The 12529-nt window shown below is 44.3% G+C and overlaps 1 protein-coding gene across 9 annotated transcripts in view; it reads right to left on the minus strand.

Moving 5' to 3' along the window:
- AK2 (adenylate kinase 2) overlaps positions 524-12529 on the minus strand; it is a 28944-nt gene continuing 16938 nt past the window's right edge. For 4 of the 9 annotated variants that reach the window (NR_134976.3, NM_001319142.3, NM_001199199.3 and 1 more), the window contains 3 exons: positions 7106-7178; positions 5791-5986; positions 570-3417 (listed from right to left, as the gene is read on the minus strand). Coding sequence is in view for 8 of the 9 variants with exons in the window: in NM_001319142.3 (NP_001306071.1) it covers positions 3413-3417; positions 5791-5986; positions 7106-7178 (274 nt within the window). In the remaining variant the exon portion in view is untranslated. Of the gene's footprint in view, positions 5987-7105; positions 7179-12529 lie in introns of all 9 variants that reach the window. The other 5 variants (NM_001319143.2, NM_001625.4, NM_001319140.2 and 2 more) reach the window with 3 other exon arrangements.

Genomic DNA, 12529 nt, shown 5'->3' on the forward strand with positions numbered 1-12529 from the left:
ACAGAGCTGCAATCTGAGACGGCTGCCTGTGACTCAACAGCCTACATACACACCCTCTCCTGGCCACCTTATCCAGAACCAGGAGATAATCGTGGAGGACAAGAGATGGGAACCGGCTCCTTCCCCCAACATAACTCACCCCTCCAGCCTTTCTGGAATACGGGTGATTCCAGGAGCTATGCAAATCCAGCACATTGGAACTTTAGTACCAACAATAAGGAAACAACGGAGGATGGCAAAATAGAAAAAGGTCTTACCTGTGGCAGGTCCTTCACTGTAACAGAGCAAACCTACTTGAGTTTCTCCTTTTGTTTGGATCCATGGCTCATAGCCTTTTCTGTATCATGAGTGCCTTTGAGATCATTTCATCTCTCCCCAGCAAAGTGTCAAAGCAATTGGCACAGTGTTAAGAGGCTGGGGTGTGGAGCCAGACTTGGACTCAGGCTCTGGTTCTGCCATTATCAGATGTCTGAATCTCAAAGTCTACAGACATACCATAGAGATAATAGCAATACTTACCTCCACAGGGTTATCGAGGAGAATAAATGAGATAATGCATGCAGAACCTCTCACACAGCTAAGAATTTAATATGTTAGACTATTATTAATTATGAAAACACATAAAGAATTCTGCATATAATTTCAGAGGTCTATGATTTCTAGGGGATCCTTAGCCTGGTTCCGGATGGTCAGTAAGACAACTTTCTTCAATGCCTACATTTTCCCTCTGAATTCCATCTGTGTTTACTAAGCATCTGCTGTGTCCTGGGCAGTCCAACCCACATGAGTATCTTGGTCACTAGTGTCATCAGCACCTTTGAGGGGTAGGGATCATTCCTATTCTACTGATGAGGTGAGATAACTTGTCCAAGGTCGCATGGTGAAGTCGCTGTTGAAATCTGTCTTCTGACTCGTTGCTCTGTCTTCATCTGAGGAAAGACTTGTGAGGCTTCTGAGGAGGCTGCTCTCCATCCTGCTGTGTTCTGTCAGTGACACTTTGTGCACACAGGAGATCCTAAGACACATACCCTAGGCCCTCAGAGCCGGCAGTGACTTCTTCAAAATCAGTTCCGGCAGCGCTGAGTGTCCATGGAAAAGAGCTCTTATTCAGAGCAGCCCTTCCTGTGTGCAGAGCTACGCAAGTAATTAAATCACTTCAGCAACAAGATCAAGGGGACGGATAAGTGTTAGAGACTGTGTTTCAGTCCTGACTGCCTCTTATGCATGACCTCAGGAATGCCACTTCACCTCTCTGAGTCTGGTTTCCTCACCTATAAAAGTGAAGGACAGTTCTGACTCCACAGGGTGCTGTGTGAGGGTTACGTGAAGTCGAGGGTTACATGAAGCCTTTGCATAATACCTGGCACAACGTCAGTCTTCCGGGAGTGGTAGGACTAGTCTGCATTCTTGGTTTGCAGATTAGATGAGGAAACCCAGGCCCAAAGAAGCAAACAAACAATAGCTCACCCAGTCTTCTCTGTTTATTCTTCTCAACTACACCATGCTGCTTTGCAGGTTGGTTTGACAAACATTTCCCCACAATTAGATGCATGATGACCAAGGGAGGAAAGAAAATTTTCACAGGGTATTTAAAAAGCTCAGGGAACAAACAGATCAGTGCAAATCAGTAAGGCTAACACCTGAAAATGACTCTGCACAGGTGAGGAAGTGGAGCAGAAGAGGGAGGGGCTGGTTCAGGGAACAGGATTTAATATGTCAGTGAAGACCCTGCCTCTCTCTGTAACAAGATGCCTAAAGAAGAATAGTGGTGCTTCCAGCCCAGCTCCCTCTTGTTTTGGGAACAACAGTCATTTCTCAGAAACCTCACTTGCAAAGGCAGCCCTTCCAAAAACATGAGAGCTTTAGTTTGGAGAAATTATTTAAGCTCACTTTTGCTGGAGAGGAAATGAATTTAAACTAGGACACACAGAGAAGCAACAAAGAGTGTTAAAGAAGCAACTGAAAAGGTAGTCAAAGATCTGGCTTAAGGATTAGAAGCACTGGCTTTCTAGACTATGGACAAGTGTCCATTCAACAGTTATCCAGCCTGGCAGGAAGCAGATATCTTTCTGTGTATATCTGGATCCAACTAACATTTATCCAATGTCTGTTGCATGCCAGGTACTGAGCAAAAACCTTCTTCCTATAAATTTCATTTAATGCCATTAAGGCCAAGAAGGTGGCATAACCAACTTCCTTTTTCAGCTGAGGAAACAGGAGCACAGTGAATAACTAACTGGCTGGGATTTGTCCTAGGTCCCCTGAACTCCAAGCACAGTGCTATCTCCACTAGACCAAGCTGCCTTGTCTCTGGGCTCAAGAGAAGCCTGCATAGGAGCTGAAGGTCAAGAGGTTGCAGGCTTATCTCATATGCACATACTTGGACCTCCCTACCACACAGCTGCCAGCGACAAGAAAGGGCTTCTTTTCCTTCCAGCCAGGTCCAGAATTCAATGTCATTTTTCTAGCTTAGATTATCTAAAAAAAATGCCACAACAGGGGATACAAATTTTAACATATTTTATTGATTTAGGGGCCAAACAAGGCAGCATTTGGTCAGTTAAGAAAGGCACCTCATTGAAAATAATACATCACAGTGCTGTTGAGTGATCCCAGTCACAGGATTTGAGAATGGAAAGGACAATCTTTGGATGACATAGCTTAGGACACTTGCTCATTTATTTAAAAGAGTCCCTTCACACAGTGCAGATAAAAGAAGGCAAGAGCATAGGATTGTGGCATGTGCTGGGTAGCTGTGAGAGGTTACTCATGAAAGTAGGTAGCCTAGTAAATTAGTGGTAAGTCAGGGGAAGGGAATCAGCCTCCCTTTCCATTTCATTCCCTTCCCCCTCCCCTTGATTCCAGTTTGCTTGATTTGTTGAGCCACCATCCCTATGAATACACCTTACATCTCTTTCAAATGTGGAGATGGTTTTTTGATCTTACAGTGTGTGGAACCGGAGTCAGTAATCAAAGCTCCCTGTTCCAAGCTATAGACAGACAGGACAACAATTTGATTTCCTGTACTCTTGGTCTGGAACCCATGGGGTTCTGAGATAAAAGCTGAGGTCTTAGAGCACTGGCTTTAAAAAATATTTTCACCAGTCCAGAGTAAATGAAAACCCGATTCCTTAGAAATAATATTGTGTCTATTTCTACCCCCACCCTCCAAGCATGGTGTTTTTTAAAAAATTAATTTTTCCCTTACACTTTAAAAACTCTCACCTATGTATAAAAGAAACTGCCACACTACAATAACACTGCTGTTGTTCCAAGTATTCCTCTGAGCCCCTCACCAGCCCTCCCTCACCATCCTCACCCTGACCACCCTTCCCCTCTGCCCAGCACCTAAGAGCAGGGATCACGCCGCGGGGTGATGAGCAGTGTTGCAGTCTCGCCTGGCCTTCTGATACTAGGCTGAAATAGAGAGGAAACAAGAGAGAACAAAATGGGTTTTTAAAAACCAAGTACATATCAGAGGAGGCTGGCATGTAAGCCCCAGCAACCAAATGCATTAAACACTGGACATTTCTGTGACAGGTAAAAGCAGAACCTGCTGAGGCTGAGGAACTCTGGAATTAAATGAAGCAAAAACAGAATCCTAACCATACTGAGAAGGGTATATGCATTCCCTATGAATCTTCCAGTTCTTATGGGCAGCCCAAATATTACTTGTACATGTTGTATGCACACGTGAATCTATGTGGACGGATGACAAATATTTGGGCAAGGATCATGCACATAAAATTAGCAAACATTCAAGAACCTCAACTTTGAGGCCAAGTGCTTACAATTGTCCCTAGTTAAAGGGGAGCTGATTCTAAGATTCATGATGCCACTGTCACCCAGAGAAGGATCCCAGACCAGGCACACATAGCTGACAGTTTTTGTTTCACTCCTCTTCCTTGCCCATTCCCAGAAGTCATGTGCTTCCCAGAAACACACAAAGCCAGACTGAGTTTCCATTAAGAGTGGGTGGAGTTGGTTTAGAGCCAGGAAAACAAGGCAGGACAGAGGCAGCAGACACTCACTTGGACCAGGCAAAGAGGGAAGCAAGGTGGCCAGGTACTCATGCCCAGTTGCCATGTGGACAGCAGATAAGACCTCTGGTAGTCTCACAGATGGCAGGAGAGCTCAGGTCAGGAGGCTGGGCACTTTAGAGTCCACTGAATCGAGTCAGCAGCAGATTATGCTGAGGCTGGCGATATTATTTACTGGATCTGCCACTGACTTTCTAATGGTTTTTCCAGAGGCTGCCGTTTTTGTGGTCCTTCATAGCAGTCTGTTACTTCATCTGTTTGCCACAAATCAAACCAGAGACCAAAAGACAGCAGGGACCTTAGAAAATGCTCAATAGTTGGGAAGCTAAGGTTATGAATAAAAGCTGGTAACTGTCACAGGTGGTCTTATTTCTGGGTGATCTTTTCTTGGGGAAGTCCATGGCTATAGCCATCATAAAATTAGGGGTGAAGGGTTGGATCTAGAAAGGAGAGGGTTTGGGCTTAAAAAGAACATATCTGATTTCAGTTTTATGTCCTGGAGAGAGACTGGGTTTGAATAAATACTGATCAAAATGAATCCAAGAATAGATCACACACTGTTTTGTTCACACTTGGAAACACAGGCAAACATTAAAAATAAAAGCAAATAAACCTACCCTGGTCTCTTTTTGGGGAAGTAGATTTGACTGCTCTCAGATGATCAGCCTGGATGTTCAGAAGACAATCTGAATTCAAAAGGACCTTTCACCTGGTTTAATTCTCTGGCAACAATTCAGTTTTCAAACCCAATTCCCAAATAATTGCTATTTTCAGCATCATGATGCAGATCACAAAAATATTCCAATTTGGCCTGGCTCTTTTTATGACGATATCCTCTCCCAGTAATTTCTGTAACCTGCAAAGTAAGTGCCTTTTTCCTTCCACCTAGGGGGAAAAAATTAATGATCCCTGTTCACACACTGACTCACGTGGGTTTTCATCATGGGTTAGAAAACAAAATGGAATTCTCTGTCCATAATGTGCCATCAGGAACTGTGACCCTGCCTGACTTCACATGATCCTGGACTTCTAATCAGCTGCTGGAAATGGAAGAAATACTATGAGGTTCTGGAATTGCGGTCCCTGGAAGATTACCTGGGTTAGTTCATTTTGGTCAAAAAATAAAATCAAAAGTATGGTTAAAGAAGTAAACAGCTGGGCTGGGTGTAGTGGCTCACGTCTGTGATCCTGGCACTTCAGGAGGCCAAGGTGGGTGGATTGCTTAAGCCTAGGAGTTCAAGACCAGCCTGGGCAACTTGGCAAAATCCTGTCTCTACAAAAAATACAAATATCAGCCAGGTGTTGTGGCATGCACCTGTAGTCCCAGCTGCTCAGGAGGCTGAGGTGGGATAATTGCTTGAGCCCCAGGAGGCAGAGGTTGCCGTGAGCCAAGATCACGCCACTGCACTCCAGCCAGGGTGGCAGAGCGAAACCTTGTCTCAAAACAACAACAAAAAAGAAGTAAACAGCTGGTAAAGCAACCTAGCCTAAAACTTACAAAGTAGCAGAGTGAACACATATGTGCATGCACACACACACACACACAACACACATACACACAGATGAGAGTAGCACACACGCCAAAGATACATCAAGCAAGTGCTTTTTTAATCAATACATCAAATGATATTTTTGCTAGCCTGAGGAAGCTTCTCTTTGCCTGTCCTATCATTCCCACCCATTGCCTCACAGGGATGGAAAGAAATTCCTTCTTGGACCCAACATTAGATAAACATAACCAAGTCTTTACATGTGGCTTTGGAGAAGGCTGCTAGGATGCTTGCGAACACGACATCGGGGGTCTGGGATGCATCGATGGCGGAGTGGATCCCCCGTTTCCTGTAGTACTCTATGAGTGGGGTGGTTTGAGTGTGGTAGGCTTGCAGGCGGATTTTCAAGGCCTTTTCATTATCATCTGATCGACGGATCAAGGGTTCCCCGGTGATCTGAGAACAGGAAGACAGCAATGAAAGGCTGGGACTGTTAGCAAGGTTTTCTTATTCCATGCCAGATGCAGATTTGAGATGGGACCATTCTGCCCAGGATGCTGTCTGTTCCCAAAGCCCATCAGAGACAAAGACAGGCAATCCAGACCCTCTCCAGTGAAGAACTTTGCTACTCCCAGGAGCAGAGCAGCTGGTGAACAGAAGTCAGAGAGTTTGTCAGAAACACCAACTGTGAGGAAAGGGGCTCATGAGGGGAAGATAGGCAATGACTTTCTCATCTTTGTGCTCAGGCGATTCAGCTTCCAAGATAAACACTTCTAGGGTCAAAAGTAAGGAAGTCAAAAAGGCCCCTAAGACCAGAATACATCAAAATCAAAGATACATTAGCAATTGTAATCTTAGTTGCTTAAATATTTAGTGTATTTACTAGAGTGTCACCCATCAACATTCTAAAAGTGGCAAGTAAAATAAGAACTTTCAATGGTAGAATTAGCAACTTTGCAAAATGTGACTAAGTTGCCATAACGGCTCTGGAACCTGTATTTATAGAACCTGAATGACCTGATGAACTTGTTTCATAGGACAAAGGTAAACCCAGGAAATTCTTACTGTTGCCTGCATGCTTTAAAACAAACCATATAGACTCTTTATGGCAAATGGTGCAGTGACCATGTATGAAACCCCAGGACACAGTACAGCAGCAATAACTATAAAAAGAATATTTTTCTGGAGGACTGGTCATCAAACTTCTCTTCAGTGCCACACTCTTCCCACTCTCCAATTGTAGGCTTTTAAGAAAGCTTCTCCTGATTAGCTGATCACTTAGGTGGCCATGATGCCAGAAAAGGGGCTGCTCTTGACAGAAGACAGGTACAATCTGGGCACTGCAAAAAGCTAGCACCACTGGAAGCAACCTTGAGGCCAAGCAATAAACCACCTGAGGAGACACTGAATAGATCTGACACAGGCCATGTGATTTACTTGATAGTGTTATTTTTCATGACTAAGTTAGTAATATTGGTAGAAATAAAAGGAAGATGGAAAGAATAAAGGAAAAAGAAAAACAGTGAAGAAAGGGGAAGGAAAGAAAAGGAAATTTTTTGTCCTGAGTTTACATACGTCATCTTTCATGGGCTCTTTTGGAGGGTTGAACTCCTCGTGGTAGGAACGGCCACTCTTGGGGTGAATCAGCCTGAAAGACAGCAAATGAATATGAGTTAGGTTAACTGACAGTACGCGCCTGCACTCCACTCTAGGGGGCTCCAGAATGACAAGCAGAGATAGGGACGCTGGATGCAAGGACCCAGCACCCAGCAGAAAATCCAGCTAAATAACTGGGCTTCCAGGAGAGCTTATGCCAGCGGCAGAGTATATTTTCTATTTTGACCAAACATTATTATGAGTATCTGGCTGAAGAGCAAACTGCTGGCATAACTACCTAATTCAGGACTTGAGAGAAGGAACTCTGGTGCTGGTCTCACACAGCCATCCATTCTGTTCACCCATTTACTTAACAAACATTAATAAGTATTCCATTCAAGCCTTAAGCTGAATTCAGAAGCTACAAAGCAATGAGTAATGATCCCTGCTCACAAGTAGTGCTTAGTGGGAGAGACAAATGTGGAAATAAATAACAAACGTGATAATCCTTTAACAGAGATTTGTACAAAGTGCTATGGGGGACAGAGGACAAAGAAATGAACTCTATTTTCTAACCTAGTTTGGTTACAAAACCAGGAAGGTACTAACAGGAAAAATAATTCCCATGGATGCAAACACTGCCAGATAATGGAACACATCTTTTCAATCACACAGATAAAAGATAGCCTAACCCTTATGGAGCAATATTCAAGTAATCGGGAAAAATGACTTATTAAACAAGTCATGGAATATAGAGCTCAAGAACAGGCATTTATTTGGCACTGAATGTATAGTGGGCAGCTGCATCTGTGCTGAGTCCCTACAGACAACAAGCCCATGTTCCTGACTGGGAATGGCCACACCACAGGAGCCTAGAAACCTAAGGAAAGGAGGCAGGCCAAGCTCTGCTCAGCAGCCAGGCCTTGCTTCACTTCTGTGGTTTCTCAATTCTCTGCCAACCAAGTGTTTGTTTGCTTATTTAACTAATGGTTGCTTTTCTCATGAAGGTCTATTAGACTAGAGCTCCCTAATATTTTTCACCATTTGGCAGGCATAGCAATATTTGGGCCGGGCCCAGCAGCTTATGCCTGTGATCCCAACACTTTGGGAGGCTGAGGGGGGCAGATCACCTGAGGTCAGGAGTTCGAGACCAGCCTGACCAACGTGGCGAAACCCCGTTTCTACTAAAAATATGAAAAATTTAGCTGGGTGGCAGGCACCTGTAATCCCAGCTACTTGGGAGGCTGAGGCAGGAGGATCGCTTGAACCTGGGGGTGGAGGTTGCAGTGAACCGAGATCATACCACTGCACTCCAGCCTGAGTGACAGAGCAAGACTGTCTCAAAAAAATAAAATAAATAAAAATTCTATTCAATTCTATTTAGACTATTGAAGTAGCACCTCTGTAAAATGTGCTACTTTCTTTTTTGTTAATCACAGCATATTTTGGGGGGACAAGATGGTCCATTTGGCATAAAGTGGCACTGGGTTATGGGCAGGAGGGAGGTGACAGTAGAGAAAATAAGCTATAGAGTCATCCCTTGGTATCCATGGGGGGATTGGTTCCAGGAGCCCCCTCTGTGGATACCAAAATCCATAGATGCTCAAGTCCCTGATATAAAATGGTACAGCATTTCCATATAACCTATGCATATCCTCCTGTGTACTTTTATTTTTATTTTATTTTTGAGACAGAGTCTCCCTCTGTCACCCAGGTTGGAATACAGTGGCGCGGTCTCTGCTCACTGCAAGCTCCGCCTCCTGGGTTCACGCCATTCTCCTGCCTCAGCCTCCCAAGTAGCTGGGACTACAGGCGCCCACCACCAAGCCTGGCTAATTTTTTGTATATTTAGTAGAAACGGGGTTTCACCGTGTTAGCCAGGATGGTCTCGATCTCCTGACCTCGTGATCCACCTGCCTCAGCCTTCCGAAGTGCTGGGATTACAGGTGTGAGCCACTGCGCCTGGTCTATTTATTTTATTTTTTGAGACATGGTCTTGCTCTGTTGTCCAGGCTGGAGTGCAATGGCAATGACCATAGTTCACTGTAACCACAAACTACTGGGCTCAAGTGACCCTCCCGCCTCAGTCTCTGGAGTAGCTGACTACAAGCATGCGCCACCATGCCTGGCTAATTCTTTTATTTTATTTAATTAATTTATTTTATTTTATTATTATTTTTTGAGACAGAGTCTCATTCTGTTGCCCAGGCTGGAGTGCAGTGTCATGGTCTCGGCTCACTGCAACCTCTGCCTCCCAGGTTCAAGCAATTCTCCTGCCTCAGCCTCCTGAGTAGCTGGGATTACAGATGCCTGCCACCACGCCCGGCTAATTTTTTGTATTTTTAGTAGAGACGGGGTTTCACCATGTTGGCCAGGCTGGTCTCGAACTCCTGACCTCGTGATCCACCCACCTCGGCCTCCCAAAGTGTTAGGATTACAGGTGTGAGCCACCGCGCCCGGTCTAGTTTTTTAATTTTTTGTAGAGATGAGGTCTCACTATGTTGCCCAGGCTGGTTGTCTTGCATACTTTAAATCACCTCTAGATTATGTATACCTAATACAATGTAAATGCCATGTAAAGAATTGATATACTGAATTTTAAAATTTGTATTATTTTTTCTTTTCTTCAGCTTTCCTGGGTTATATTTATTGGTGGTTTTGTTCTGAATATTTTTAATCCACAAATGCTTGAATCCGTAGATGAGGGAACCATGGATATGGAAGGCCAACTGGACAGAGGAGTAAAGGTTCCTGTGACTGCAGTCATGTACTGTGAGGTTGCACCTTCCATTATTTGAGTGCCTGGAAGGATTCCTCTGATGCATTCATTCAGAAATGGCATCCACTGGGAGACCCAGGGAAAGGAGAGAGCAGGCTGCTGGGCTCAGCTGCAGCAACTTTGGGAGGGGCTAGGGGCATGAGATACGGACCAGGATATTTTTTTACCTTCTAGAGAGCACAGGGCACATAGCAGCCAGGCTGCAACAAATATGACTCCCACACACTGCTCTTTTGCCATTCACAAATACCACTTTTTAAAACAATACAAGGCTCATTCCACAGAAGGTAAATGAAAGAAACCCCACTCTCCAAGTTCTCAAAATGGGATTGCTCTCAAGTACCAACCAAAATAGCTCCATGAGCCACTGAGCGTGGCTTGGAGGTATCATCAGGACTGGGAATCTACAATCACTGCTACCGTGAGTGTGATACTTTATTTTTATTTTTTTGAGATAGGGTTTTGCTTTGTCACCCAGGCTGGAGTCCAGTGGCCTAATCATGGCTCAGTGCAGCCTCGACCTCCCTAGCTCAAGCAGGCCTCCCACCTCAGACTCCCAAGTAGCTGGGACCACCACCGCAGGTGCACACTGCCACACCTGGCTAACTTTTTTTTTGCTTTATAGTAGAGACGAGGTCTTGCTATGTTGCTCAAGCTGGTCTGAAACTCCTGGCCTCAAGTAATCCTCCTGTTTAGGTCCCTACCAAATGCTGGGATCACAGGCATGAACCACTGCGCCCAACATTCAGTGCGACACTTTAAACACTTGTTTTCTCATCCACAAAATTGGGATGGTACCAGGTATTAAGATAATACCGGAGAGCCAACTGGTAGGATAATTAGGATTTGAGAGAGCCAATATTGAATAAGTTAAAAACAAAAACCACAACCACCAACTATTCATATTCAAGAAACAGAACAATGACTCAAAATTACTAGAAGTGAGGTCAGAGCTAATTCAGAAGATTGTTACAATGGGTCCATATCATCTCAGACTTGAAAAAGATCCTGTGTGAGGTCCGGGGTGCATTCCCCAGCATCTTCAAACAGCCGACATCTGTGACCAACCTGGGCAACAGAGTGAGACTCTGTCTCAAAAACAACAACAATGACAACAACAAAAAAAAACAGAAAAGAAAAAGATCCATATTAAACTGACTGGTTCCTGCCTCATTTTCTTCTAACCATCAACATTTTGGACTACGAGGCAGAAAGCAGGCTTCCAGGGCTAACCCTGCCACTCATCTGTTGGGTAAACTTGGAAAAACACCTTCAGCAGTGACATGCTCTGTGAGGACGGGGGTCCTTCTCTCTGTGAGGAAGTCACACTAACCACCTACTTCCAAATGGAGGGAATGAATCTTCTCTCTTTCACCCTTTACAGCAATCCTGCTGTTTGTTCTTCAGAATCTCTCTGTTCTCTCCCACCCAACCTCAGTTAGAAATCTCCACCACATCATGTGGATCATAAACAGGCTCCTAGATGGTATCCTTATCTGTTTCTCCTTGCCGTAATTTACCTTGTACACCAGGACCAAGCTAATGTTCTTAGAATACTGTTTTTGCCACAATACCCAGTGGCTCAAGACTATCTCATGAGTCCTGAACTCCGTCAAGTCTACCCTCTTTGGTTTGGCAGATCTCCCCAGTAAAGCTCTTCTCAACAGCATTCCTTCTACCTTCCTGCCCCCCAGACCACTGGGCAGACACGTCTGCTACTAGCCTCAGCGAAAGTCCAACCCATAATCATTCCGGCTTCTCCTCCCTTCTGGGAAAGGCTCTCTGAAATACTCTTCATCGAGGAAGAGTTTAATGTTATCTCTATCCTAGGCAGCCTTTCTTCCCTGTCCCCAGGCTTTCTTCTTGGACTTCCTACTACACTGAACAGCCCAAGTTTCATATATGACTCTCTGAGGTCAGAGATGGGCATCACTATATGGTTATCCTAGAGCCTCTCGTGGTCCTCTGCTCCCAGGGTCTAGTACTGTGCTATGCAGGAAGCAGGTACTCAGGAAGCTGGGCCCATAGAATCAAAGGTCTCCAGTATCACCTGATTCTGCTAATACGTGCTTAGTGCCTAAGAGACCCCAGGCCTAGTGATGTCTTTACTGTTAACCCTACTGCTTCTCGACCTACATCAACTTTGTCTACTCTGTGCCCAGTGGGGATACAAAGAAACAGAAGTTCCTGCATTAAAGGAGCCTATGGAATAGCCGGAGACATGTAACCTGGACATTTGAAAAGAAAATGAATATAAGGTAGAGTCCACTGTATTTCATATCGCTTTCCAGGATAATAGTGCTAACCCTGTGCTGTCTATTCACATGTTTGTCTCTTCTTGAAGGTATGGACTACAAACACATGGAAAAGATGTTCAACCTCATTAGGAAATCAAAGTAATAATGTCTGAAATAAGAAAACATTTTTTCCCTAATCCAAAAATTTACATGCATTATGATGGCCATAGTATCATTTTAACAGTGGCTAACTGGAAGAAACATAAATGTACAACAATAAGGAAATAAGTAAACAATGGTTAACCTACTGTGAAATATTACACAGCAATTAAAAGTAATGGTCATGGATGTCTGGTTCAAGATGGTTGGCTGACCACTTTCCTGAGA

This window comes from Homo sapiens, chromosome 1, assembly GCF_000001405.40.
Source record: "Homo sapiens chromosome 1, GRCh38.p14 Primary Assembly".
NCBI classification, from domain to species: domain Eukaryota; kingdom Metazoa; phylum Chordata; class Mammalia; order Primates; family Hominidae; genus Homo; species Homo sapiens.